Below are 27,714 nucleotides of genomic sequence, written 5' to 3' on the forward strand. Positions count from 1 at the left end.
AGACTGCTGGGCCTCACTGGAGTTTCTGATCCAATGGGTCTGGGGTAGGGCCTGAAAATTTGCATTTCTAACACTTGCAGTTCCCAGATGTTGCCGTTGTCACAGGTCTTGGGACCACACTTTGAGGATCACTGGTCTAGAAGGAGGCTTGTATTAGCTAGTGATTTTTTTCATTGTGATGATGATGGCTAACCTTACACTTGAACAAAAAATGTGGCTTTCTTTAAAGAAAATCATCAGAAGTTCAGTTCTTTAAAATTCAGCTACTACTCACTGACATGGTGTATTACCCTGTTCTCATGCTGCTAATAAAGACATACCTGAGACTGGGTAATTTATAAAGGAAAGAGGTTTAATTGACTCACAGTACAGAATGTTTGGGGAGGCCTCAGGAAGCTTACGATCACGGTGGAAGGGGAGGTAAACACTTCCTTCTTCACATGGAGGCAGCAAGGAGAAGTGCTGAACAAAAGGGGGAAAAGTCTCTTAGACAACCACGAGATTCCATGAGAGCTCCCTCACTATCATGAGAACAGCAGCATGGGGTAACCACCCCTGTGACACAATTACCTCCCACCAGGTTCCCCCATGACACATGGGGATTATGAGAACTACAATTCAAGATAGGATTTGGGTGGGAACACAGCCAAACCATATCATTCCACTCCTGTCCCCTCCCAAATCTCATGTCCTCCCATCTCAAAACACAATCATGCCTTCCCAACAGTCCCCCAAATTCTTAACTTATTCCAGCATTAACTAAAAAGTCCAAGTCCAAAGTCTCATCTCAGACAAGGCAAGTCCCTTCAACCTATGGGCCTGTAAAACCAAAAGTAATTTAGTTACTTCCTAGATACAATGGGGATACAGGCATTGGGTAAATACAGCCATTCCAAATGGGAAAAATTGGCCAAAATAAAGGTGCTACAAGCCACATCCAGGTTACACTGATGCAAGAGATGGGCTCCCACAGCCTTGGACGGCTCTGCCCTTGTGGCTGTGCAGGATACAGCCCCGTCCCAGCTGCCTTCATGGCTGGCATTGAGTGTGTGGCTTTTCTAGGCACACGGTGCAAGCTGTCAGTGAATCTACCATTCTGGGTTCTGGAGGACAGTGGCCCTCTTATCACAGCTCCACCAGGAAGTACCCTAGTAGGGACTCTGTCTGAGGGCTCTGACCCCACATTTCCCTTCCACACTGCCCTAGCAGAGGTTCTTCATGAGGGCTGTGCCCCACAATACACATCTGCCTGGACATCCATGTGTTTCCATACATCCTTTGAAATCTAGATGGAGGTTCTCGAACCTCAATTCTTGTCCTCTGCCAACCCCCGGGACCAACACCACATGAAAGCTGCCAATGCTTAGGGCTGAGACCTCCTCAGCCTGGATTCCATTGTCCACTATCAGCATTTTGGTCAAAGTAATTCAACAAGTCTCTAGGAACTTCCAAACTTTCCCACATCTTCCTGTCTTTTGAGCCCTCCAAGTCTCTAGGAAGTTCCAAACTTTTCCACATTTTCCTGTCTTCTTCTGAGCCCTCCAAGCTGTTTCAATCTCTGCTTGTTACCTAGTTCCAAAGTTGCTTCCACATTTTTGGGTATCCTTGTAGCAGCACCCCATTCTCTGGAGTACCAATTTACTATATTAGTCCATTCTTATGCTGCTAATAAAGATATAACCAATACTGGGTAATATATAAAGGAAACAGGTTTAATTGACTCATGGTTCTGCAGGGCTAGGGAGGCCTCAGGAAACTTACAATCATGGTAGAAGGGGAAGTAAACATGTCCTTCATCACATGGTGGCAGCAAGAAGTGCTGAGCAGAAGGGGGAAAAGCTCCTTAGAAAACCATCAGATCTCGTGATAACTCATTCACTATTATGAGAAGAGCAGCATGGAGGTAACTGCCCCCATGATTCAATTACCTTCCGCCAAGTTCATGGGGATTATGGGAACTAGAATTCAAGATGAGATTTGGGTGGACACAGCAAAACCATATCACGTGGTTTCTTTTACTGAAGCATTTTCCCCTCCACTGCAACTTGCATACCTGTATTGCAACTTTCAAGTGCTATAAAAATAGCACATACCCCCATCAGGCATTGATAGCACCTCCATGTGCAGATTTTGAAGGTAACTGAAACTTCCTCTGCCCTGACAGGCCATGCTGCTGCTCAGTGTCTTCCGCTGCTGTCTCCAAGTGGTGTTCTTGTCATCCTGGAAGCCCTGCCTTGGGCCATGCCTGAAATGCACTAATATGCTCATTTGTGAGGTAGTACAGAGTGGTCAGGGCATCCAGGCACATCATGGATGATGGGGCACTGTTACGGGTGCTGGGACACTGCCATGAACAAGAGGCCCAGGTCCCTCCCCTGTACCTCTGTAGTCGGTGCCAGCCTCATGCCATTCAGCTACCTTCACCCATAATGTCCCTGCACCCTCTCTGTTGAGTCTACCTCCTCTTCCTCCTCCATCCAGCCTAGGTCTCTGGCCCAGTTCTTCAGCCCATATCTTCCAGTGGCCCCACTGCCCTTCCCACTGGCCTGCCTGGGCTGAGAGCACTGCTGGAGACACCACTCCCAGTACATGCTGCTCTGTCCTCTCTAGTTCCCGGTGTCCTGATATTGCCTGATAGTCATGTTGAGTGTCCTGACGTCCACTCTGGCTCTCCAGACTCTGTTCTCTGCCAACTTCCAACCTGCCCCTCCCCACTCATACCCTCTCCCCCTACTCTTAGCAAACCACTCACTCTCCACTTCCCTGAGAAAATAGAAAACTTGGAATAATACGCTTCTTCGATGTCCTGCACCAGGACAATCAACTTCTCTATCTCTGCTCCCATAGCTTCCTTCTAACCCCACAGCAGAAGAGTTATAATACTGCCCCCTGTTGAAAGCTTATTTTCCACCTGTGCTCTGGTCCCCACCCCTCCTGGCTTCTCAGGTGATTTCCACCTGCCTACCACACCCTTGATGCCTGTCTTCAGTCTCTCCTTCACTGGTGTTCTTTGCTTGTCCACCCTTAAACCTGCTTAAGTTCACCTGTCCACGCTTAAACCTGCTTAAGTTCACCTGCTATTTAAAGCAGTGTCCCTTATCCCTGTGTTCCTCTGCAGCTGAGCACCTGTAATTCCCTGTCATAGGCACATTCATCATCTCTACATTCTCACCTTCCACTCACTCCTCAACCTAGTGTGGTCTCCATCATCCCCGCCACACCACAGAATCTGTGCTTCCCAGGGTCTCTGATGACCTTGAGGTTGCTGTTCACTCACCTCCTCACCCCTGGTCTTATGTATCACACCAAAGTGTCAGCTGTGCAAAAGCCAGGAATAGGATTCCTACTCTGTAGGGACCCCTGTGGCTGGCGCAGGTAGCTGCCATAGTCACCGGTTCATATTTCACCGTTCTGCTCATTTCGTGCTCCCTGGTACATCTCTTATTTCACTGCTTGCATATTCTGTCCAAGCTCTGATAAAGCCAAACACATTTAACAGATGGACACAACTGGCCATGCTTCAGGCTTCTGATTCACCCATACTTCCAGGAGCCATGAATCTGAAATCTGGAGCTGGTCTGTAGAAAGCATTCTATTTAGTGAAATGTTGAAGGAATTTTAGGTCAACTATCATGTATTTCATTGTCTCCAATGCCATAATTTCCAAGTGCCTACTTGAACAGTAGATACTTTCAGGGGATTTTCATATCAATGATTGCATTTTGCCATTGTTCTTTATTTTTTCAGTAATGCTCCATCTGTAAACAACCCAAATTTCAAAGCCTGACATAGTGTATTGACAAATTATTCCTGGATGCCTGTTTTTATCAGGCCAAAATCCATAGTTATTCTAAAATGGATATCATACAAATAATGCTGCTGTAGCATGCTAACATTTTCCAGACTATTATGAAAATGTTTAGCTCATTTACAAGTCATGGGAAACAATATCGGAATTTGCTACTGTGTAGAACCATTACTATAGCACTTCCAGTGATGCCTGCTTGTGATCTTTATTGCCCACTTTATAGTTCTGTATTTTCATCTCCATTTTTTAATCCTTAAATATACAAAGTAAAATGTAAATATCTTTTTTGTGGGTCTTTTAGAATTATTTTTTAGCATTAGCACTTGTAAATTTACTGGAAGTTTCAACAATTTGTATTTCATGTTAGATAAAAGTAAGGAAGCTTTCAAAGAAAAGTCTAACAAATATAACACATGTACCCACCTCCCCAAATGAAAAAATGTTAGCATTTTGTTGTATTTTATTTAGATTTTTTTGCAGAGAAATAAGCCATTATACATCAAGTTGAAATTCTACTTACTATTGTTGTGCGACAAATTATCTCAAAACGTAGTGATTTAAAACAACCATTTTTTTTTACTCACAGATTATGAGAGTCATGAATGCCGAACAGGCACAAGAAGGAGTGTTTCTTTCTGCTCCACAAAGTGCAGCTTCAGATAGGAAGGCTTAGAGGTTGGGATGACCCAATGGCCAGGGCAGGAGCCGTCAGGGTGTCTTAATTTACTGATTTGGCAGAGAGTAGTGCTGTCAGTTGGGCCCTCAGTTAGCTGCAACAACTGCACATGATACCTCTGTGTAGCTTGGGCTTCCTCCTAGCATGGTGGCTGCAGACGTCTTACAAAGTGGTTCAGAGCCCCACAGGTGTGTTCTATAATAGCTCACAAGGCAGAAGCTGCATTGCCTTTCAGGACCTAGCCTCAGAAGTCACACTGCCTCATTTCTGCTGTATTCTGTCAGTTCCAGGAGAGTCACAAGCCCTTCCTGGATTCAAGGGAAAGGGAATTAGATGCCATTTCCTGATGAAGGTGGGGCAAAGTTTTGAAAGAGCATGTGTGGGGGACTCATGCCATCTTTGGATAGTCCCAGTCTCCCTCCTCAAGGACATCAACTCTTGTAGTTTGTCTCCAGTCCAAACATGTGTGGGCACTTTCCCTGCATATGTGGGTATCCACGTGAATGTCTCTTCATTGCTTCTCCATCTTTCTAAAAAGTAATCACAGAGAGTCATGAAATCCAGTGTTAGAACCAGGCATTGTTAATGCTCTTATGTTATTATTATTCAAGCTGGGCTAGGGGAATGTGGCATTAATAAAACAATATGTACATTGGATTTAGTTATACTATACTCTCTATTCTAATACTTTGTAATCATTAGTAATAAATAGTAGCATATTACTTCATGTAGGATTTTGCAAAGCTTAAACTATTTTCACATTTGTTCCTTCAGTCCAGGCTTCCTAAAAATAAAATATAATAAGAGTCTTGAGACTTAAGTTCATATTTTGCATGAATCAGATAAAATAATAGATAGTAAAATGCTTTGTAAACTGTGCAGAGCTATTAAGTTGCCCCTTATCATTAAGTTTTTAAGTCTGATTTTCTGATATTGTAATCCTGTCCTAGGCTTCCTCTCATTTCTTTGCTGTAATCTTTGCTTCTACCTCATTTCTTGTGTCCAAATACAATCAGTTATTCAAGGCCTGGCTCAAATGCTGCCTAGAAGCCTTTCCTGACACAGACCTCCCAGCTTACCTCCTCTCCCTCCTCTGTGCTTTTATCGCATTCTGTGTTTCTCTGGTAGATTATCTTTTGTATTCTATTTCACGTATCACATCACTGGGGCTCACCTGGAAGCTTCTAGCAAACCAAACCCCAGTCTCTGTAGCCCTTAGTGCACAACAACATGCCTCCCACCCAGGAGCAGGCTGTGAAAGTCTTTTTATTTTTTAATTATTATACTTTAAGTTCTGGGATATGTGTGCAGAACATGCAGGTCTGTTACATAGGTATACATGTGCCATGGTGGTTTGCTGCACCCATCAACCTGTCACTTACATTAGGTATTTCTCCTAATGCTATCCCTCCCCTAGTACCCTACCCCCTGACAGGCCCTGGTGTGTGATGTTCCCCTCCCTATGTCCATGTGTTCTCATTGTTCAGCTCCCACTTATGAGTGAGAACATGAGGTGTTTGGTTTTCTGTTCCCATGTTAGTTTGCTGAGAATGATGGCTTCCAGCTTCATCCATGTCCCTGCAAAGGACATGAACTCATCCTTTTTTATGGCTGCATAGTATTCCATGGTGTATATGTGCCACATTTTCTTTATCCAGTCTATCATTGATGGACATTTGGGTTGGTTCCCAAGTCTTTGCCATTGTGAATAGTGCCACAATAAACATACATGTGCAGCGTGTTTCTAGTAGAGTGATTTATAATCCTTTGGGTATGTACCCAGTAGTGAGATTGCTGGGTCAAGTGGTATTTCTGGTTTTAGATCCTTGAGGAATGGCTACACTGTCTTCCACAATGGTGGAAGACAATCCCACCAACAGTGTAAATGCGTTCCTATTTCTCCACATCCTCTCCAGCATCTGTTGTTTCCTGCCTTTTTAATGATTGCCATTCTAACTGGCTTGATATGGTATCTCATTGTGGTTTTGATTTGCATTTCTCTAATGACCAGTGATGACAAGCTTTTTTTTCATGTGTTTGTTGGCCGGATAAATGTCTTCTTTTGAGAAGTGTCTGTTCATATCCTTTGCCCACTTTTTGATGGGGTTGTGTTTTTCTTGTAAATTTGTTTAAGTTTGTTTACAAGTGGGATGACAGTGTAAAGTCTCCCACTATTATTGTGTGGGAGTCTGAATCTCTTTGTAGGTCTCGAAGAACTTGCTTTATGAATCTGGGTACTCTTGTATTGTGTACATATATATTTAGGATAGTTAGCTCTTTTTGTTGCATTGATCTTTTACTATTATGTAATGCCCTTCTTTGTCTTTTTTGATCTTTGTTGGTTTAAAGTCTGTTATATGAAACTCTGGGATGAAAATTATTGTCATTCAGAATGTCGAATACTGGCCCCCACTCTCTTCTGGATTGTAGGGTTTCTACAGAGAGATCCACTGTTGGTCTGATGGACTTCCCTTTGTGGGTAACCTGACCTTTCTCTCTGGCTGCCCTTTACATTTTTTCCTTCATTTCAACCTTGGTGAATCTGACGATTATGTATCTTGGGGTTGCTCTTCTCAAGGAGTTTCTTTGTGGTGTTCTGAATTTCCTGAATTTGAATGTTGGCCTGTTGTCCTGGGTTGGGGAAGTTCTCCTGGATAATATCCTGAAGAGTGTTTTCCAACTTGGATCCATTCTACCCATCACTTTCAGGTACACCAATCAAACGTAGGTTTGGCCTTTTCATATAGTCTCATATTTCTTGGAGGCTTTGTTTGTTCCTTTTCATGCTTTTTTTTGCTGATCTTGTCTTCATGATTTATTTCATTAAGTTGATATTCAATCTCTGATATCTTTTCTTCTGGTTGATTGATTCGGCTATTGATACTTGTGTATGCTTCACAAAGTTCTCATGCTGTGTTTTTTAGCTCCATCAGGTCATTTATGTTCTTCTCTAAACTGGTTATTCTAGTTAGCAATTCATATAACCTTTTTTCAAGGTTCTTAGCTTCCTTGCATTGGGTTAGAACATGCTCCTTTAGCTCAGAGGAGTTTGTTATTACTCACCTTCTGAAGCCTACTTCTGTCAATTCATCAAAGTAATTCTAATTCTCCATCTAGTTTTGTTCCCTTGCTGGCAAGGACTTGTGATCCCTTGGCGAGAAGCAGTGTCCTGGCTTTTGGAATTTTTAGCATTTTTGCCCTGGTTTTTCCTCATCTTCGTGGATTTATCTACCTTTGATCTTTGATACTGGTGACCTTCAGATGGCGTTTCTGTGTAGATGTCCTTTTTGTTGATGTTGATGCTATTCCTTTATGTTTGTTAGTTTTCCTTCTAACAGTCAGGCCCCTCTGCTGCAAGTCTGCTGGAGTTTGTTGGAGGTCCACTTTAGACCTTGTTTGCCTGGGTATCACCAGTGGAGGCTGCAGAACAGCAAAGATTTCTACCTGTTTCTTCCTCTGGAAGCTTTGTCTCAGAGGGGCACTCACCAGATGTGAGCCAGAGCTCTTTTGTATGAGGTGTTTGTCAACCCTTGCTGGGAGGTGTCTCCCAGTCAGGAGGCATGGTGGTTAGGGAATCACTTGAGGAGGCAGTCTGTCCCTTAGCAGAACTTGAGTGCTGTGCTGGGAGATCTGCTGCTATGTTCAGAGCTGGCAGGCAGGAACGTTTAAGTCTACTGAAGCTGTGCCCACAGCTGCCCCTTCCTCCAGGTGCTCTGTCCCAGGGAGATGGGAGTTTTATCTATAAGCCCCTGACTGGGGCTTCTGCCTTTCTTTCAGAGAGGCCCTGCCCAGAGAGGAGGAATCTAGAGAGGCAGTCTGGCTACAGTGGCTTTACCAAGCTTTGGTGAGCTCTGTCCAGTTCAAACTTCCCAGAGGCTTTGTTTACACGGTGAGGGGGAAAACCACCTACTCAAGCCTCAGTAATGATGGACACCCCTCCCCCACCAAGCTCGAGTGTCCCAGGTCGATTTCAGACTGCTGTGCCGGCAGCAAGATTTTCAAGCCAGTGGATCTTAGCTTGCTGGGCTCCATAGGGGTGGGATTCACTGAGTTAAACCACTTGGCTCCCTGGCTTCAGCCCCCTTTCCAGGGGAGAGAACAGTTCTGTTTTGCTGGAATTTGAAGCACCACTGGGGTATGAAAAAAACTCCTGCAGCTAGCTCAGTGTCTGCCCAAATGGCTGCCCAGTTTTGTGCTTGAAACCCAGGGTCCTGGTGGTATAGGCACCCGAGGGAATCTCCTGATCTGCACGTTGTGAAGACCATGGGAAAAGTGTAGTATCTGGGCCAGAATGCATGGTTCCTCACAGGATGGTTTCTCAAGGCTTCTCTTGGCTAGGGGAGGGAGTTCCTCAACCCCTTGCACTTCCTGGGTGAGGCAATGTCCCACCCTGCTTCAGCTCACCCTCTGTGGGCTGCACCCACTGTCTAACTAGTCCCAGTGAGATGAGCTGGTGCCTCAGTTGGAAATGCAGAAATCACCCACCTTCTGCATCCACCTCGCCGGGAGCTGCAGACCAGAGCTGTTCCTATTCAGCCATCTTGCCACCTGTGAAAGTCTTTTGAATGGATGAATGAATAAATGAATGAATGAACTGTTTTTTCACTGGCTTCATATGCTCATGCCTCACTAAGGTTGTAGAAAATACAGGATCTTGAATACTTTAAAGTGGCAATGTCTTGTGAGACAGACATCATCCCTGCTGTCCCAAAATTACCCAGCGTGTGTGGAGAGGCCCCTGGCTTTGGAGATGGGGGGCATTTCCCTTGACTCCCACCTCCTCAGCACCACAGGGCTCATCTCTGGGGACCTGGCTTTCCAGTTAGAGCAGACCTGGATCAAGAAGGGCCACAGGAAAGAGAAAAGAAAGACTTGGCAGTGGGAGGGCAGGGCGTTCAGGCCTCTCCAGGGAAGGGTGCCAACCTCTGGACTTAGCATGATGTTTTTAAAAGAAATGAATGTGTGTCTTGTCTCTACCTTCAACTTGTAAGGCAAGTGCAGTGCCAGAGGCTGGGGTATCTCTGCTGCCCAGGTGCACTCCACAGAGACAGAGCAAGAGCACGTGCAGACTGTGCTGTCCAACTCGCATAGAAGGCTGACAACCACTTCCGTCCTAATGGGGAAAGTGAAGTTGGCAAGGCAGAAATGACCACATGCTCACCCAAAACCTTGGTAGCAGCATGTCTTTCCAGAAATTTTGCAAGCCAGATCTGGAAATTTGATGGCTTTGCTCCTCTTTTTCCTGAAAGAAATGGAAGGAATCAGGCTCATGAAAAGCCAGATTTCACCTCCATGCACACAACCAGGACCCTTGCCTTCCTGAAATGCCCCACAGGCTTTCACAGAATAGATGCAGTCTTAGCAGTGGGCAGCTTGCTTGTTGTCTGGCCTAAGTCTGAGCCAAGATAAAGACATATAAACTGCCAAGGAGACACTCTATTCCAGAACCTTCTCTTCTTTGCAAAGCAAACATAATTTTAAGATCAAGATGCATAACTCTTGTAATCAAAAGCTTACACATTTCCTAGCCCCCCCACCACCCTCCACCCCCAAGCAATGGGTTCTAAGCAATATAAACTGCCAAAGTGGTGTGTAGAGGGAAATAAAAACCAGACTGGTAAGATACCAACTTTTTTATACCAGTTTCAGAAAGTGCTTATGCAGAGCAAGTGTGGGACAATATTCAATTGGCAAAAATATGATGAAAGTAGCTCACTTAAGAAAGGAATAAAGTCTTGTTTATTGAAAGAACAGTGACAAGTTTTTTTAAATTCTGAAAGTCTTGCATATTTCCTGCACTGTATATTTACCTAAGTACAAGTGTTTTAAGAATGATCTCTTGAGCCTGCTTAAATCAAGAACGCATATTTCAGCAATTTGAAAAAAATTGCATTTCTTTGTTCATGGCTGTTCTCGGGGTTGAGAGGTATGGACCCAGGAGTCAGAGGTCTGAGTTTAGGCTTCCACCTGCTAACTAGCTTGGAACCTCTGACTAGGTTTTTAAACCCTCTAAGTCTTGGGTTTCTCACCTGTAGAATGAGGATAATAATCATGTCTACCTCACAGTATTGTTGGGAGGACTTAATGAGATGTAGAGAAACTAATCTAAAGCCTGGCTCACAGAAAGGTAATGTGAAGTCTCAAAAAAAGTGAATTTTACAATAGCAAAGACATGGAACCAACCCAAATGCCCATCAGTGATAAAGAAAATGTGGTACATATATACCATAGAATACTATGCAGCCATAAAAAGGAACGAGATCATGTCCTTTGCAGGGATATGGATGAAGCTAGAGGCCATCATCCTCAGCAAACTAACACAGGAACAGAAAACCAAACACCACATGTTCTCACTCATAAGTGGGAGTTGAACAATGAGAACACATGGACTCAGGCAGGGGAACAACACACACCGGGGCCTGGTTGGCGTGGGGGCAGGGGGGTGGTGCGGAGAGGGGTGAGGGGAGGGCGAACACCAGGACAAAGAGCTAATGCTCGTGGGTCTTAAAATATAGATCATGGGTTGATAGGTGCAGCTAACCACCATGGCACACGTATACCTATGTAACAAACCTGCACATGTATCCCAGAACTTAAACTAAACTAAAATTTTTTTTTAAGTGAATTTTAGCCACTAGATTTTAGAGTTGAAGCATGCCATGGTACTTGTGATTAGGCATCTACCTGTGTATTTATTCACCTGAACACCTGGATGTGTAGAATAAAAATTGCTCAATTGTTGAAGGCTGCTGCATCGCTCTATGCTACTTGTTCTGTTAAAGTATGTTCAGGGAGCCAGCCCAGAGAGGCACCTCCTTTTAGCTCTGTGAGGCCTTAAAGCTGGGTCACCATGAAGTCCCTGTATATATATTTTTTGTTTTAATAACTCCAAGTAACCAAATGAAAACAATTATTTATAAAATGTATTAAGAAGTAAATGTTATCAATTTGGGACTTTGCACAACTATTATTAATGTGACCTCAGGTCCCATGACAAATTAGAATGGCAATCCTGGGTGAGAAGTTAATTTTGTCCTGAAGCTGGCAGAATCAACATGCACCCCAGTTGTGGGATAGGCCTGTTCTCTCACTCCATCACATCCAACACCTGGCAAGGACAGCTTTTGGTATGCTAAAGAATTTGGGAAAGATGCTGTTGGTGTAGGGGCGGGGAGACTAGAAACAAGATCTTTCCATGGGCAGAGCTCTTCAGAGCTTGATAACAAAGTTTGGTCTGCAGCCTTTGTCAAATAATTATAAACTCTCCAGTTGAAACAGGGAAATGTGGGCTGGCGTGGTGGCTCACACCTGTAATTCCAGCACTCTGGGAGGCTGAGGCAGGTGGATCACTTGAGGTCAGGAGTTCGAGACCAGCCTGGCCAATATAGTGAAACCCCATCTCTACTAAAAATACGAAAATTAGCTGGGTGTGGTGATATGCACCTATAGTCCCAGCTACTCAGGAGGCTGAGGCAGGAGAATTGCTTGAACCCAGAAGGTGGAGGTTGCAGTGGGCTGAGATCATGCCAACACACTCCAGCTGATAGAGTGAGACTCTATTTCAAAAAAAAAAAAAGAAAGAAAAACAGGGAAACGTTTGCAAAGCTTCCATCTCCAGGTTGACTTCAGTCAATAATCCTATTGTCTTAAGGCTGGAGTGGACTTCCTTGAAGCTCTTTGCCCAGAAAACCTTGCCAAAACTCTCCTAAGATTATTAAGAGTTTTCTCGAGTCTCTTTTCCTGATTCCAATCAACTGGAAATGTTATGAAAATAATTCTGTGGTCAAGTCTCACTTACTCTTGCTCTCAAACACAATCCACCAAAAGAACAAAACACAAAGTAAAAGTGGATGCAAGACACAAGAGGAAGAGGGGCCCTCTGCAGAGGCTGCTAAGCAAACGTAGGTTTGGCTCAAAGATTTTTGTTTCTTTGAATCAGTTCACTATTTTTAACCTGTGGAAATTTGTTCACTCATTCTAACAGTAGCTTTTGCTTTGTGAAATTGGTTTATTTAGTGTTATGTTCCTCCTGTAAACCTTTTCATTGTATGTTTTTCTCCTAATCTAATGGTAATCCTCTCAGTGATATGAGTAACCTGGTGTTTGTATTTAACACTCCTTCAACATTCACAGAATCAGAAAATATCAGAACAAGAAAGCCCCAGCCTTCAAGATTGTTTGATTTGTGTTCCCTAATTTTATGTGTGAACAAAACTGAGGCTGTGAAGATTCTAGAATAATATGTTGAGCTCAAAAATATGGTAGTAGAATTAGAATATAGCTTTCTAATATTTGTATAAAAGTCAATGATATTTAGAAGTTTAAAAAAGATACACATTAAACTGGGAAAATACTAAATATTTAAATTCTGTAGGCTAGTTTTCATATTCTGGAAAGGTGGATTTTCATATGGCACTGGTGCTGGTGTTTCATCAGGTCAGCTGTCTATGTCATAAGAGGGTGTTCTTATTAGAAAATGTAGGCTTTGGCAAGCTTTAAAAGGTACACGTGTTACTGCATGTTCTGACGAGATTTTGAAAATCTTTGGCAACTGTGCTTTCCAAGTGGAGAAAAAGGGCTACCATAATGTTGAAAGACGGAAATTAAAATCTAATCAGATATGGTGGCCCTTATCCTCCACCTTAGAATTTCTTTTCGTGGAATGTCTGGTGGACAGTAATATATAGAGGCTCCTCGACTTAGGATGGGATCACATCCAGATACACCCATTGTTAAATTGAAAATATCATAAGTTGAAAAATGCATTTAATATACCTAATCTACCAGACATCATAGCTTAGCCCAGCCTACTTTAAATTGCTCAGAATGCTTACACTAGCCTGCAGTCGGGCAAAATTATCTAACACAAAGCCTATTTTGTAATAAAGGGTTAAATAGCTCATGTAATTTATTGGATATAGTATCAGTTGTTTCCCCTTGTGATCGCATCACTGACTGGGAGTTGTGGCTCACTGCCACTTCCCAGCATATATGACTAGCCTGGAAAAAGATCAAAATTAAAAAACAAAGTACATTTCTACTAAGTGCATATCACTTTCACACCATTATTAAGTCGAAAATCGCCAAGTTGAACCATCCTAAGTTGGGGACCGTCTGTAGATCAGGCAATCCTTGACATTTTATGGCGGCAGATTGCCAAAAGAGATTGGAGTCTAGAAGTCCTGGAAGCAGCCCCAACAATTACACAGAACTCAGCATCATGCCCTCACATCAAGGCAAGGAGGGAGAGTTGTCCCTATTTTTCCTTTCCTTGAAAGGGATAGTGAAACTCATTCTGAGGTTTTTAAAAAATGTACTTTTTAATGCTTTTCCTCTATCTGTTTTGCTCTCCCTTGATACCCTGTCTACATCATGATGGCTGTGGCACTGCTCCTGCTCCTTACATGGGGTCTTAGAATGCACAAAGCTGCCCAATATCACTTTCTCTGTATTTGAGGAAAATTTCTAGTAGCAAAAGAATATCCTCTGACACTCTTTTCAAAATGCCAACTAAATGTGATAGAACTACTTTTTGCAACAGTGAAGTCCCAAAGTCTCTTTCTTCCTGATGGGTTAATTTAGTACCTTCCTTTTTCCAAATCAAAGAACCATAAAAGTCAGTGAAAATCTGCATTATTATTATCCTGTGTGTTTAGTTTTGCTTTTTAGTACTTACCATTATTAAACACTTGGCCCATTTTTGGCTAATTGTTGTGTAATTCCAAATACAAACCAGTCACCATGGATTATTGCAGTTAGAGTCATCAGAAAGCAAGGAGCTATGACTCATGCTCTGTTCTTGCCATGTTTTTCTGATTTGTATTTCATTTCTTACCTGTGCTCACAAGTCACATGAAGATCAATACATCTGAAATATATATGCTGACTATGTCACCAGATTTTATTTCTCCCATCATTGAATCTGGACAGGCTTCTTTCAAAAGTGTTGAGTCATTTTTATGTCTTTATCACACTCTTCTAAAGTCCTTAAAACTCCTAATTATTTCAGAGGATTATTGTCATATAAGGTATACAAAATCAATTATATGAAGAAGTTGTAATCACTATAATTAAACTGAGGCTTATCTAGACAGATCCTGTGTCATATTTTTCACATAATGAGGCTAAAAACTTTGTGGAGAAAATAATGGATATTTATAGAATATACTCAAGTGTATTTATTTTAGAAGGTCTGTTAGACATTTCACAAAAGAATCTGTAATCTACAGAAATTACCAAATTATGTTACATAATATTTTAAAAACTTGTTTTAGAATAAGTTGGAATGTGAGGTTTATAAAACAACTGGAATAATAAACTGAAATTATAATTTAATTTTTATACCCAGTGCATTTATTTTTCTTCCTATGACTTGACTATAGTTTAAAATTCTTATAGGTTTAGTATCCCTTTTTTGAAAACAGGTTTTCAATGTGTTTCTGTAACAATAATGAAAAGTAAAGGCATGTAATCTCTTTTCCAAAATAAAAGATTGGTTTGAGAATTATGATCATATATACAATGTACTAAATGCAACCTTTTATGATGATGATATAAAAGATTCACAGACTCACAAATCATATGCCACTCAACTAAAATACTAAGAGAACATAACTTTATCTTTATAAAACATATACATAGGCATAAATACATAGACAAAGGTCTAGAAAAATATGCATATCAGTGTGGAAATGCAAGTGATGATAATGATTTCTGTTGTTTTCTTCTAATTTCTATAGAGTCACTATGCTATTTAAATTTTCAAAAAATTAAGTTATGTGCAATAATCTTTTTAAAATTATTTGTTTTTTAATCAGCTTTTTAATCTGATGACATAGAATGATAACGTAGTAAATCATAGTTTCTGAACCAAAAAACAGGGACACATAGACTGAGAAGTGCCAAGTTCATTTTAGAGATTAAAAATACAACGGCATTGGGACTTTTCTAGAAAATTCAAGATATGTGGTCACAATTGAGGTGTTCAGCTTCTAGAGCGAACTGAACCAGATATCTGCTAAGGCTCTGATAGAGAACAGCTGGAAGCTCAGAAAGGTAAACATAATTCAAATATTGGTGAATATGCCAGTGCAGCCGAGAAGGTGACAGGATTTGAAAAATGTGCCAGGACACAATGAGAAAGGCCTTGGAATAAATACAAAAAGCCCAAACTTTATTCTGTAAAAGTGGGGAGCTACTGAAGGTTTTAATCAAAGCAGGGATAATCTCATTTCCAAGGCAAAAAAACAAAAAGAGGCATTCCTTCCTAATACCACATGTAGGAGCTGTTCTTATTCTATGGTGGATTATTACTTTAGTAGTATCTTATAAAGACAGTGCCTGAAGGTCTTTTATCTGTACATTGATGTAACACTTTTCAAAAGCATATCAGCAGACACATTTTTGGAAGCATGCATTCTGAAACTTGAACTTCAAATAGGAGTTATGGCTGATATCATGGAGTAAGGTAAAACAGAAGCTGACTCCTCTCCAGTATTCAAGGCTGACTGTTGTCTCTGGAACTGAGAATACTGGGAAAAGTGTGAGTTGGACACTGTGCACAACTCTAATTAACACTGTTCTAAAGGGAAAGTATATGAATATATTGTTTAAACACTAATAGTTAAAAGTTATACTACAATATCTTCAAGGTTTAACACATAAATTGAGACACACACTTAATTAGGCCTAAGAAAGAAGTGGAATGTAAACTCGTTGATTTTATTTTCATAAATGATTTATTTTACAACTATGAAGAGGAATAATAGAGGCCTTTTATTAGCAAAGAGATTATTATGATGTCTATTTTCAGCCATGATTTTTCTACCAATGGAAAGTGGAACTGAAAACCTACTTAGGGTGATGTGTTGGGGTTGGGATCAAAGAGACTACTATAACTGTCCTACCTCTGAGATTCCAGCATCACATGTGGTGACAATAACACTTCATTTAGTTATATTTCTAGTGAGTCCAGTGGAATGGAGAAAATTTTTTAAGTTAAAAATTCTAAAGGACATATGTATAATGGTAGGAATTATTTAGTCTTCTTAATAAAATAAATCATTTATTTTAGAATTATTTTGTAGTCTGAAAGCACATTTCCTATAATTTTTAAATGTGAAAGCAGGCAATATTATCTTGTAGGTATTGTATTATATTACAAGAGCCAAAGCATGCTGATTCCCAATTTCATCCAGTATGACTTGTCTTAGAAAAAGAAATAAAAATGCAGATCCATTTATTCACTTATTAACTGAGTACATTTCCTGAATCCATGTGCACGTTGGGTGATAGGAAGCTGAGGCCCTGCTGGCTAAAGATGTAAGAGAACAGAGCCTAAAACTGGCACACCAGCTGGAAATTAGGAGGGCAAGTTTCCCTAGAAATGGGAGAACCACAGATAGGATGAACCCCAAAATCTGAATATAAACTCTTTCCAAATACTTGGCTGACCACCAACTTATGCAAACATAAGGGAGACTTCAGTAGGCCAGCCTGAAACAAAGCAACTGCAGAAGCTGAAAAATTTAGGGATTTGTCAGTTGCTGCATATCACAGGAGAGCAGAGCTTGTAGTTTGAGTCCAGGTCAGCTAACTTCTTACCAGAACAATAAGCCAATGATCACCAGGAGAGCACAATAGAACTCAGAAAGGCTGCAGTGACTATTATCTACTAGCTTTAGGCCCTGTCCTCTGATATATCAAGCTAGTAAGACATGCAAGGAAACCAGGAATGTGATAATGCCTGGGGCTGGGAGATTATGGAAATTGTCAGTCACCCAAAACTGACTCTAAATAGGCCTCCATGTTGAATTTAGTAGTCAAAGACTTCAAAGCACCTATTGTAGATATGCTCAACCAAAGGGCATTAAAAGAATTAAAGGAAAAATTGTCTTAATGAATGAGTAGATAGGGAATCTCAACAGAGAAATTACATTATTAAAAAAATGGAAATTCCAGAGCTGAACAAGTACAATAATTGAAATAACAAACTTGCTAAACAGTCTCAATAGCATATTGGAGATGGCAGAAGCAAGAATAAGTGAAATTGACAATAGATTTTTAAAAATGGCCCAATCTTAAGAATAGAAAGAAAAAAATACCCACAAAAAACACTATCAAGGAGTCCAGCACACAAAATCCAAGCTCTGCCTGTGCATTAGGCTTCAGGACATGAGGGAATGGCAGTGAATTAGGGCTGCACTATGCCAGGAACACTCATTTACCACAACTGGATTTGTCAGCAGTTCGAGTGAACTTTCCTTAGGCATTATAGAATTAACTGTACTTAGAGAGAGGTTCTTGGTTAACCTCAGTGTTTTCACATTTTAAATTATTTCCTAAGTTTCAAGTGAAACTAAATATCATTTGAAAGACTTTTAAAGGCAGTCTGCCCACCCCACTCCAACTCACCCCAATTTCCACTAACAACTACTTCAAATGTAATTGTCAGAAAGAGCACCCCACTCCACTGCACCCCAAATCAGCCTCCGATAGATATTGCATCTGACCCTGGGGGGCCCTTCCCGCTTTCCTCTTGCTATGCTCACTACACTTTATTTCCCTCAATGAAAACTCCTTCCCCACCCTCCTAATGTGTGACTTCACATTCTATACATAGAATTTCTTTTTTTTTCCAAAGTGAATATAGTTTTATATATTTTTTAACTACATAAAAATAAAACACAATCAATACAAAAAGAAATGGATAAAACGCAAATGTGAAAACAAACTCACCAATCACCAACCACTCAGAACTTTAGGTCAGTTTAATAGGTGTCCTCTTCTGACATTTCAGTGTCCAGTCTGCCCTCCTTATCCATGGGGTCTGCATCCACAGATTTATCCAACCATGGATAGAATATATGTTTTAAAAAGCAAAAAAAAATATATAAATAAAAACCAATACAGTATAACAACTATTTACATAGCTATGTTGTATTAGGTATTGTAAATAATCTAGAAATAATTTAAAGTGTATGGAAGGATATTCATAGGTTATATGCAAATACTACATCAGTTTTGGTGGGGGGGATGGAGTCTCACTCTGTCACCCAGGCTGGAGTGCAGTGGTGCCATCTCAGCTTACTACAACATCTGCCTCCTGTGTTCAAGCAATTCTCCTGCCTCAGCCTCCTGAATAGCTGGGATTACAGGCGCACACCACCAGGACCAGCTAATTCTTGTATTTTTAGTAGAGACGGGGTTTTCCCATGTTGGCTAGGCTGATCTCAAACTCCTGACCCTGTGTGATCTGCCCACCTCGGCCTCCCAAAGTGAGCCACCACGCCTGGCTCAAATACTATATCATTTTATATCAGGGACTTAAACATCTGTGGATTTTGGTATCCAAGGAGGGTCCTAGAATGAATCACCAGATTATGGTCATCTCCTGAGGATGATTGTATATACATAAATTCGGGGTGTTTTACACCAATGGAATCATATGCCCAGTTTTATAATCTGATTTTAATTTTTACTCAGAATGTGGATATCAGTCCAAATCAATAAATATAGACAATAATTGACTTAGTTCAGCAGAGAAACTGGAATCTCACACTAAGGGTGAGGAAGGCGGGAGACAGGAGCATTCAGGGAGGGGCAACTCACACCTTAGAGACCAGGAAAGACTCAGGTGTTTCTAAGCCAGGGGAGCCAGTGGGGCTGAACACAAGAGAATCGTGCAAGCTTTAAGAGGAGCATCCAGATCCCCAGATCTCCGGTTCCTCCAGGCAGCCCCAGGGGTCTGGGAGGCTGGGTGGGAAGGAGATCTAAGTGCTCCCTCCATGACCTGCTGCTCGACTCCCACCTTCCTTCCACCCTCAGAATTTCTCTGTGGGCCTCATTGTGACTCCGCTCCCCTCCTTCCCACCCAGGGGAAGCCATCTCCACATGATGGACTTTATCTGTGTGCCTCATCATGTCTCCACTCACCTCTTTCCCATGCAGGGAAAGCAGGCTCCGCACAGTGGGCTTTCTCTGGGCTCCTCTTCTTGTCTCACAGTCTCCTCCTCTGTGGCTTATGCTCTCAGGTTCCTGGTGCATTTATCAAACCAGCGCTCCGGGTCCTGCTCACTCTCCTCTGGCTGCCAGTGGGCAGCTCCCTGCCTCCCAGTGTTCTTAAGTTCAGCAGTTATAATTTTCATCTCCAATGATTCCTTTTTGCAGGATGCTCCTTTTTCATGATTAATTGCTCTCATTTTGTCAATGCAGCAGACTCTTGTGTCTCACTGAAAGCATGAATTCAGGTTTTTAGTTACTTCTTGTTTCTTGTGTACTGTTGTGCATGGAATCATTTTCTCCAGTTCTGCTCTTCTGAAGAATTGTGCTGAGCCCTGCTGCCCTGCCTGGCCAGCATCTTCTCTTCATATCTGTAGATGGACAGAGTTGTTCGGTGTAGCAGGTGCCCTGCGTTCTGTCATGGGAGACACAGTGCCTTGTTCAATTCTTTCACTTCCCAGTTACTGTATTTTTTCTGGTTGGTGGGGCTCAGGGGGAGATATCCAAGGGTTCAGGAGCTCTGGCCACTTTTCCTTGTGAGAGTTTGATGGGGCTGAACAAGACAGTTAGGGAAGGAGGTAAGCCCTCCCTTCAGGTGCTCAGCCCCTCTGACCTCTGTACTGTCTGCCCCGTGGCCTCCAGTCCCTCAACACACACCTGCACCCAGGACCAAGCTTCCTCGGCCCTACTGTGCGCAGCTGGACCCATGGGCTCCTGCACAACTGGACCCCAGAATCCTCCCTGCAGCCTTCCTCTGCCTTCCAGCCGACGCAGGAGCTGTTAGTGAAGGGGAACAGAAAAATGGATCCATAAATCCTTGCTTACCTCCCTCGCAGGCTCTCTTGCCTGGGACAGATGACATGGCTCCTGCCTGCTCTGCTCTCTGTCAAAACTTCCCCAAGTATTGAGTCTGTGGGCATGACCATTCTCTAGTTTCTATCTGTGGCTTGGAATTTGTGTTAATGTATTGGTTGGGTCCTTTCAATTGGAATGGGGAGAGAGAGGAATCCATAAATCTGTGACTCAGTGACCTTTAGGAATTGGAAGCCAAGGTCTATTTCTTATGTCTTATTTTGTTATTGTGCATAGCAGTGTCTCTCAACTGTTTGAATCCAGGCCCCTGGAGATGAATGTGGACTGTCAGTGGTGTGGCTTTTTCCACCTGCACCTTCTGCAGAGCAGGGTGCACCTTGAGCACCTTGAGCACGGGCACCTTCTGCCTGTGCACCTGTGCACATGAAGGAGCCTCTTGGGGTCTTGCTGCCTTTGGGGCTTTTGCTTTCGCCTCCAGCTCCTTATACTTCTGCCCATATATCTCACTCTCTGTTTTCCAGCCTGTCTTTTCTGTTTTCTGAAGTCTGCCCTTTCCCCTTCATGGTTAGGTGAAGGAAGGGGAAATAGAAGGAAATATTTGAAGAGGAAAGGTTGTGGCACTGCAGGGTATTTGTGACTTTGTCCCCAATTGCATTCTTCAAGTGCAGTTCTTGGTTTTTAGGGTATCTCTTTGAGTGAGATTATCTTTAAGTCTTTTGTCCTTATTCTGAGAAAATCTTATAAAGTTTCCCTATATCTTTTCATAGCCTGGATTTCTCAGAAAACACATGGAGAAGCAAAGCTTCTGCTAGGTTGCTGTGGGAAGGGGAAGTATAGGCCCAGGCGGGCAGAGTGAGGGAAGGGGAGTGGGGCAGAGTGGGCAGGAAAGTGGACACATGTGGGTCCCCACAGAGCCCTCCAGATCCCATGCATAGAGCAGCTGCTGCCACCAGCAGCACAGACATCTTCCAAGGGCTGGCAGAGCCAGGGCACCTGCTCTCCAAGAAGGGCAGAGGTCGGCAGGCATGCACAGCACTTACCCCAAGGCATGGTGTCATTATTGCTGTTGCTTTGGAGCCTCTTATGGGACTGGAATCTGTGGAGAGGATGGAGAGAGTAATGCATCTGGAATGGACCTCCTGGCTCCTTCCTATTTCTCATCTTGATGGTCACACTGCACACTTCCCAGGCCGCTTGGCCACCTCACTGTCATGCAGCCACCAGGACAGCCAGATCCCTGCTCCAAGCACTGCAGGAGGAGTCCTCCTCCAGCAGGGTACAACCTGGCACTGCAGCTGCTGTGACTCATGCGCATGGCATCAAGGCAGCCATGCCCAGGCCCAGCTCTTACCTCTGGGGAAGATAGACAGCTGACAGGTCAGGACACAGACTTTGGTGGCAACTGCCCGAGCACCCACATAGCAAGTTGCCGAGGCCAGGGGCATGCAGAGCCAGGAAAACCTGGGAAGATGCATAAACAGGCCCAGCCCAACTTTGCTTTCTGTAGGTTTCAGGTTGGCAGAGGAAAGCAAATAAGTGAAGAAAGAGTGGTGGGGGAGGAGCATTGGACAGAGGGAAGGAGGCCAAAGACAAACTCTTCTCACTGCCTGTAAGTGAGCAGGAGTCTGACCCCCGGCTTTTCTCCCAGAGCCTGCTTCTGGCTTTACAGTTATCACTGCCACACTCATGAGCAGTATTTCCAATACTGCACAGCAAGAGGGGCTCCCAAGGAAATACATGTAGACCCAATCTCAGCTTAGGCAAAAAGATTTCTTTGCTACAGGATTTGTCAGAACCTTAAAATGTCAATGTATTGGAATGTCTGCATTCAGAAGGGCTATCCGAGACATTATACTAATGTATGATGGTCTCCACTCATGTTTTTGGAGGCCTCATGGGAGTAGTGTTTATAGGCGTCACCTTAGGAAATGCTGCCCTAGACTTTTCTGACTGTTTGCCAGCCCCATCAGGCTTTGGATCTCGTATCTTCAGAAATGCTGTCAGTATTTTCCAAGGTAAAAACTAGTAAAGAAAACCAAACAAAAATCCAGAAATGTGCTCAGTTAATAGTTCTCCTAGTATCTTCCCAGAATAGCATGTGCATTTCACCCTTGTCCTGGAGATAATGTCTATTACCTGGATTATAATCTGGAAATGAATTCTAACTCCTTTTATTATGGGCATGACCTTGTTTCTGTACTCCCAGCCTCCAACCAGCAAGAAAATGGGGGTCTCAGTCCCACAGCCACAAGGACTGGGATTCTGTAAATGCCCCAGATGAGCTGGGAGGCAGATTCCTCCCCAGAGCCTGCAGATGGAGTTCAGCCTGCCCCTGACACCTTGCGTGGGAGACACTAACAGGGAGAAGAGCTGAGCCTCCCCCAGCCTTCTGACCTACAGCACCATGTGATCATGAATATGTGTTATTCTAAGCCACTAAGTTGGTGGTAATTTGTTATATAGCAATAGAAAACAGATGCATTAAGTTTGTCTACAATGCCCATGCCTGCAGTCATATTCTTTGGCTTCCTAGAAGGTGACCAGCAATACATGTCAGAGTGTACAATTAGAAAAAAAAATACAAACAATACATTATGTTGTGGTTCTCAAACGTGAGTGTGCATCAGAATCCCCTGGAGAAGTGTATTCAAACACAGATTTCTGGGACCCACCCCTAGAAATTTTGACTCAGTGTGCCCGAGGTGGATCCCAAGAATTTGCATTTCTGGTAAGTTCCCAGATGATGCTGTTGCTGCTAGACCAGGAACCACACTTTGAGAACACTGTGTTAAGTCATGAGCTCTCCTTTTGAAAATAATGATTTACTAAGTTGCTGTATGTTTCTCAATCTCTACTTTAATTGCTTATTTTATGATAAAAAATATTTCTATAAAATGCTCATAGAAATGCCTCTTATTGTGAGTCCAGTCCCCATTAAGTTGCCTGTCTACATTGTGCTTCTGAATTTAGTCATTTTTCCCTTTGGGACTGTTCTATACACCACCTTATTCACTATTTTTATTTTCTTACAAATAAACTTTACAGGAATCAGCTTAAGAAGCTAACAGCAATTATCTGCAACAAGAATAAGTATGATGAAAATAGAGATGTTACCTGATTGTGGTTCTTTATTAGAGAGTAAAGGAACAGAGAAAGAATTACCCCAAAGCTGCATTGTGCATCAGCTGCTAAGTCATGGCCTGCTTGGGCAGGTACGAGACCAGTGTTAGGAAATGCAATAATCCAGACAACTGGAGCTGCAGGGCACTGGCTGTCAGTTACCCCCAAACCAAGGAGAGAAGCCAAGGGGAAGACTCCCCTCTTGGGCTCCCAAAGAGGTGAATGTATTAGATAGTCACTGGCTAGAGCATCCAATTTAGTCATCTTTCCAGAACACTCACGGTCAGATGACATGATGATGAAATATCTCGTATAGAAGGCTGATCATCTCACTTGATTAAAAAGTTGTGTGACCTGATTTTTCCATAGAATTGGCCCTTAATCATGAGCCATTTTTTTGTCTTGTATTTAATATCAGTCTTGTGCCAGTTCCTTGGAATATCCAACTGACTGATCCAATCAATGAACGAGTGTTTATGGAGAGTCTACCAAGTGCCAAGCAGGAGAACATCAATTCTGTCAGCCAGTCCTTGGAATAATCCAACGTGGCCATGTGGGAGGCCACGGCAAAGGATGGCCAAGCACCTTAACTGACAGGGTTCTGTTCTTGTTCACAGTGGGGAGGGTAATTCTCCAAAATTCAGTCCTGCCACTGCCACTGGAGCAAGTAAGGGGTGTCAGGCAACTGTCACTGTGCCCTGATGTGCAGCGTGGCATGTCCACTTGACTCTGTGACACGTCTCTCCTCCTAGCCCACTGGTAGAGCAGGTCAGAGATTGGTCCCTTCTTGACCATTTGTACTCCCAGTGTTGATGATACTACACCCAGATGGTCAGAGCGAGGCTGCAATTTCAGCTCTTAACTCATGCCCCGGCTTAGCACTCTTCTCTCTTAGTGGAAGGGAAACCCTGGTAGTGCCAGGTTTATGGCTGCAGGGCTGAGAGCAACAAAACCCATCCAGGCAGCAGGACCTGCTGGTTGGGCTGACAGCCTTGGAGACTGTGTTGAACCTGGTCAGCACTGGCTCCAGCAGGGATGGGGCAGAGTCTGTATAGTGAAGTCTAACGTGGTTGGCCTTGGGTGGGATTCTGTGTGGGTCTCATCCTTTTGGATGGAATTGCATTAAATCAATGCAGTGACTCAAGATGTTTAGTTCATGAAAAACAGTAGCTATGCTTGCCAAGTATTTGTGCCTTTGATTAACTTACTTAGAACTAATTAATCACCACTTATAATGTATACTTTTTTAAACAGACTCCTCCAAAATGGGGAGGCATGAATTTAAAATAGAGTAGCCCTATTCAGATGGCTATGATCCACTTGTTAAGCACTCCTTAGCCTGAGTGGCCTAAAAATCGGAGCCTGGGGCAAAAGCTTATATATTAATTCTTGATCAAGGGCTGCCATCCTAGGGAAGGAAGAGGGGGGAAAGCAAGAGCGGCAGGAAGGAGGGAGAGCAATTCAGAGCGAGGAACCCCAAGCCAGCCACAACTCCACAGCCAAGGCACTGGCCTCATTCCCCAGGGAGCTCTGCAAAGTCTAGTGGAATATCTGTGTCTCAGAACAGCCATGGAGGGGGTTGGGCTCCCTCTTCTCCTGTGCTCCATCTTTTACTGGTCAGAGTCTGTCCTGAGAGACAGTCCCATCATGGCTAGGTTGTCGGGTCCTCTCTGCTTGGGAAGCCAGTATCTTGCGGGTCCAGGCTGACACCTGAGAGGTGGGAAAAAGATGTACACTCTCTCCAGGGGGCTGCAACTGGGGAATGAGATGAGTGAGCCACCAGGGAGATGCAGCTGTGTGGACCAGGACTCAGCACAAAGCTCATCCCTGAATTCCAAGGAGTGAGAATGCAGAAGAGAGAGCTATCTTCCTTGTTGTTTTATTAATCTTTGTTTTATGTGAAACTGATAGGAGTATTCATTTCCTAGGGCTGATGAAACAATATACCAGAAACTGGGTGGTTTCAGAAAATAGAAATTGATTCGCTCCTGGTTCTGGAGGCCAGAAGTCCAAAGTCAAGATGTGCACAGAACCATGCTGTCTCTTGGGCTCTAGGAGAGGGTCTGTTCCATGCCCCTCTCCTGGCTCCAGCACTGCTGCCAGTCCTTGGCACTCTTTGGCTGGTAGATGCATCACCCCAATCTCTGTCTCTGGCTTCATATGGCCTTTTTTCTGGTATGTGGCTGTGTCTCTGTTTTCTCTTCTTCAAAGGATACCTGTCATTGGACTAGGGCCCGCTCTGATACAGCATGATTTCATCTTAACTCATTACATCTACAAAGACCCTATTTCCAAAGGTCAACTTCTGAGGTTTCAGGTAGACATAAAATGTAGGGTGTTGAGGGAGGGGGGAAGCCAGTCCTATAAAATACGCTGAAATTAACTATCTTCCAGCAGGTAAATAGTTGATAACCTCTATATCAACTGCATATTAGACTAAATCCTATTTAATTGGACTGGAGTTGGGCTCAGGCATTTTTTCATTTACCTCAAGTAATTCTATATATATATATTTTATTATCATCAGCATTATATCACTGATTATAATGCAATTGGTAACATTTATTGGACAGTTACTGTGTCTCAGGCACTGGGCTGAGTACTTTATGTATATTATACCAATGACTCATCATTCCAGTTCTTCATCTTACAGATAGGAACACAAGAGTCAACAATGTTGGAAAATCGCCAGAGGACACAGACCTGGGAGCGGCCAAGTCAAGACATCCAGGCTGTCTGGCTCCAGAACTAGGACTCGTCTTTGCCAAGAGAACCCAGAACATATTTAGAACCTTTCATCTTCTTCTCGTCTTTAGACAGTCTCAGTTATTTAGAGAAATTGTAAACATTTTAAGATGCGTAACTGCAAGCCTTCACTACAAAGAAATAAAACAGCCTGGAGAGAGAGGGGCTGACGTATCATATGTATCTTGTACAACCTGAGGATGAGTCACCAAGGGCAGAAGTTAATAAATGACAGGAATTATTATTCAAACAGATTTAATACTTTCATGTCTCCCAATTTCACAAGTTTAGAAAAAAAGTGATGCATTTAGAAGACATCTCTCCCTCCTATTTCGAAGCTTAGCTGCCTAACCTACAGTAAAGCCTGATAGTTATGAACCTTGGAGAACAGCTTCTATGACAAGTGAGGATCTAAGAGCCTATATCTCATAATGATGCCTCTCTGCATTAAACTAAATCACCCCATTCTGGGCAATCATTGCAGATCCCCTGGTTTCCTGTCTTGGCCCTGGACCCACACTCCCTTCCCCATCAAAGGTGGGATGGGGAGAAGCAGCTGCCCAGCTTAAAACAGTGTACTTCCCAGTCATGTGCCAGGCAGAACCTTGTTGGCACCCACGTTTCTGTCTCTGTGGCTGGACCTGCTCCTCATCTTGTCTTCAGTGCCCTTCTTTTTCCTTTGATTTCTACCTAAATCCAGCTCATTGTGGGACCTTCTCTGGTCCAACCTTCTTCAAGTCTCCAGCTGCTCTTACCTCCATGGGCCATTTCTTTGTTTGAAATTATCTTACATTTAGTCGATTCCATTCTGTTTAGATCTCAGCTGCTCTACATTTGCTTCACAGAAATTGACCTTGGCTCCCAAACTATATAACAAGTACCTCCCAGGGACAGAAACAAGGTGTGTATATGCCTGGTATTCCTCCCAGCCTTCTCGGCATAATGCCAAGCAAACAAAATTGGAGTGATCTCCAACATACCTGATAATTACTCTTTATACCTGTAGTATAAGAAGTGTTAACTTTTTGACATTAAATGAAGGTGCCCAAATAGTGCCATCAGATCATGTTAAAATTTTTTCATGGTGACCCAAATTAATAATGACATCCTTTTTCCTCATGGAAACCCAAACCAAATTATTATTTATGATTACTATAATTTTTAGCCATTATTAGGCTCTGTTATGGTACTGTGTGGTTGATTAAAAATGGAAGTTGCCCATGGAGGTCTACATGTCATTGTTTTGGCCAGTGCAAAATGTAGCCAGGAGCACACCACACCTGACAGTATCAGTGATTATTATTATTATTATTATTATTTTTAATACTGATGAAGAGTTTAGTGACTCCTGATTTCAAGCTAAGAGCTGATTAGGAAAGGTTCCATTGACAACTCATCCCTAGAAAATTAAAACAGAAGCACATAGATATTGCAATTTGACTTCAGAGACTTCCCTTTCTCCTAGAACAATGCACACCGCAAATGAGGGCTATTTCCGATGGCTTATAACTAAAGTAAAATACTGTGATATCGTCTAATCTTAGAATCTCTT

The 27,714-nt window shown here is 42.7% G+C and overlaps 1 protein-coding gene and 1 long non-coding RNA gene across 9 annotated transcripts in view, besides 1 other annotated feature; one reads left to right on the forward strand and one right to left on the reverse strand.

Annotated features, from left to right (window-relative positions):
- The window catches only part of SLC22A3 (solute carrier family 22 member 3), a 104,200-nt gene that overhangs the window by 17,055 nt on the left and 59,431 nt on the right, over positions 1-27,714 (forward strand). The window contains exon 1 of one of the 8 annotated variants that reach the window (XM_011536075.3): positions 26,721-27,063. The exons of the other annotated variants lie outside the window; for them this stretch is intronic. The gene's annotated coding sequence lies outside the window, so the exon portion shown is untranslated. Of the gene's footprint in view, positions 1-26,720; positions 27,064-27,714 lie in introns of those variants that run through there. 8 annotated transcript variants of the gene reach the window in all.
- On the reverse strand, positions 4,254-26,721 carry LOC124901453 (uncharacterized). Its single transcript, XR_007059843.1, has 3 exons — positions 19,419-26,721; positions 18,222-18,312; positions 4,254-5,014 (listed from the first exon to the last, which is right to left on the reverse strand). It is a non-coding gene; the product is annotated as an uncharacterized LOC124901453 (long non-coding RNA).
- Positions 20,977-21,478: an enhancer, noted in NCBI's record as "H3K4me1 hESC enhancer chr6:160807441-160807942 (GRCh37/hg19 assembly coordinates)". NCBI's record gives its function as "activates a minimal SCP1, AML or CMV promoter by ChIP-STARR-seq in naive H9 embryonic stem cells {active_cell/tissue: H9 hESC(naive)}" and the evidence as "EXISTENCE:reporter gene assay evidence [ECO:0000049][PMID:30033119]".

Source organism: Homo sapiens, chromosome 6, assembly GCF_000001405.40.
Source record: "Homo sapiens chromosome 6, GRCh38.p14 Primary Assembly".
Lineage (NCBI taxonomy): Eukaryota > Metazoa > Chordata > Mammalia > Primates > Hominidae > Homo > Homo sapiens.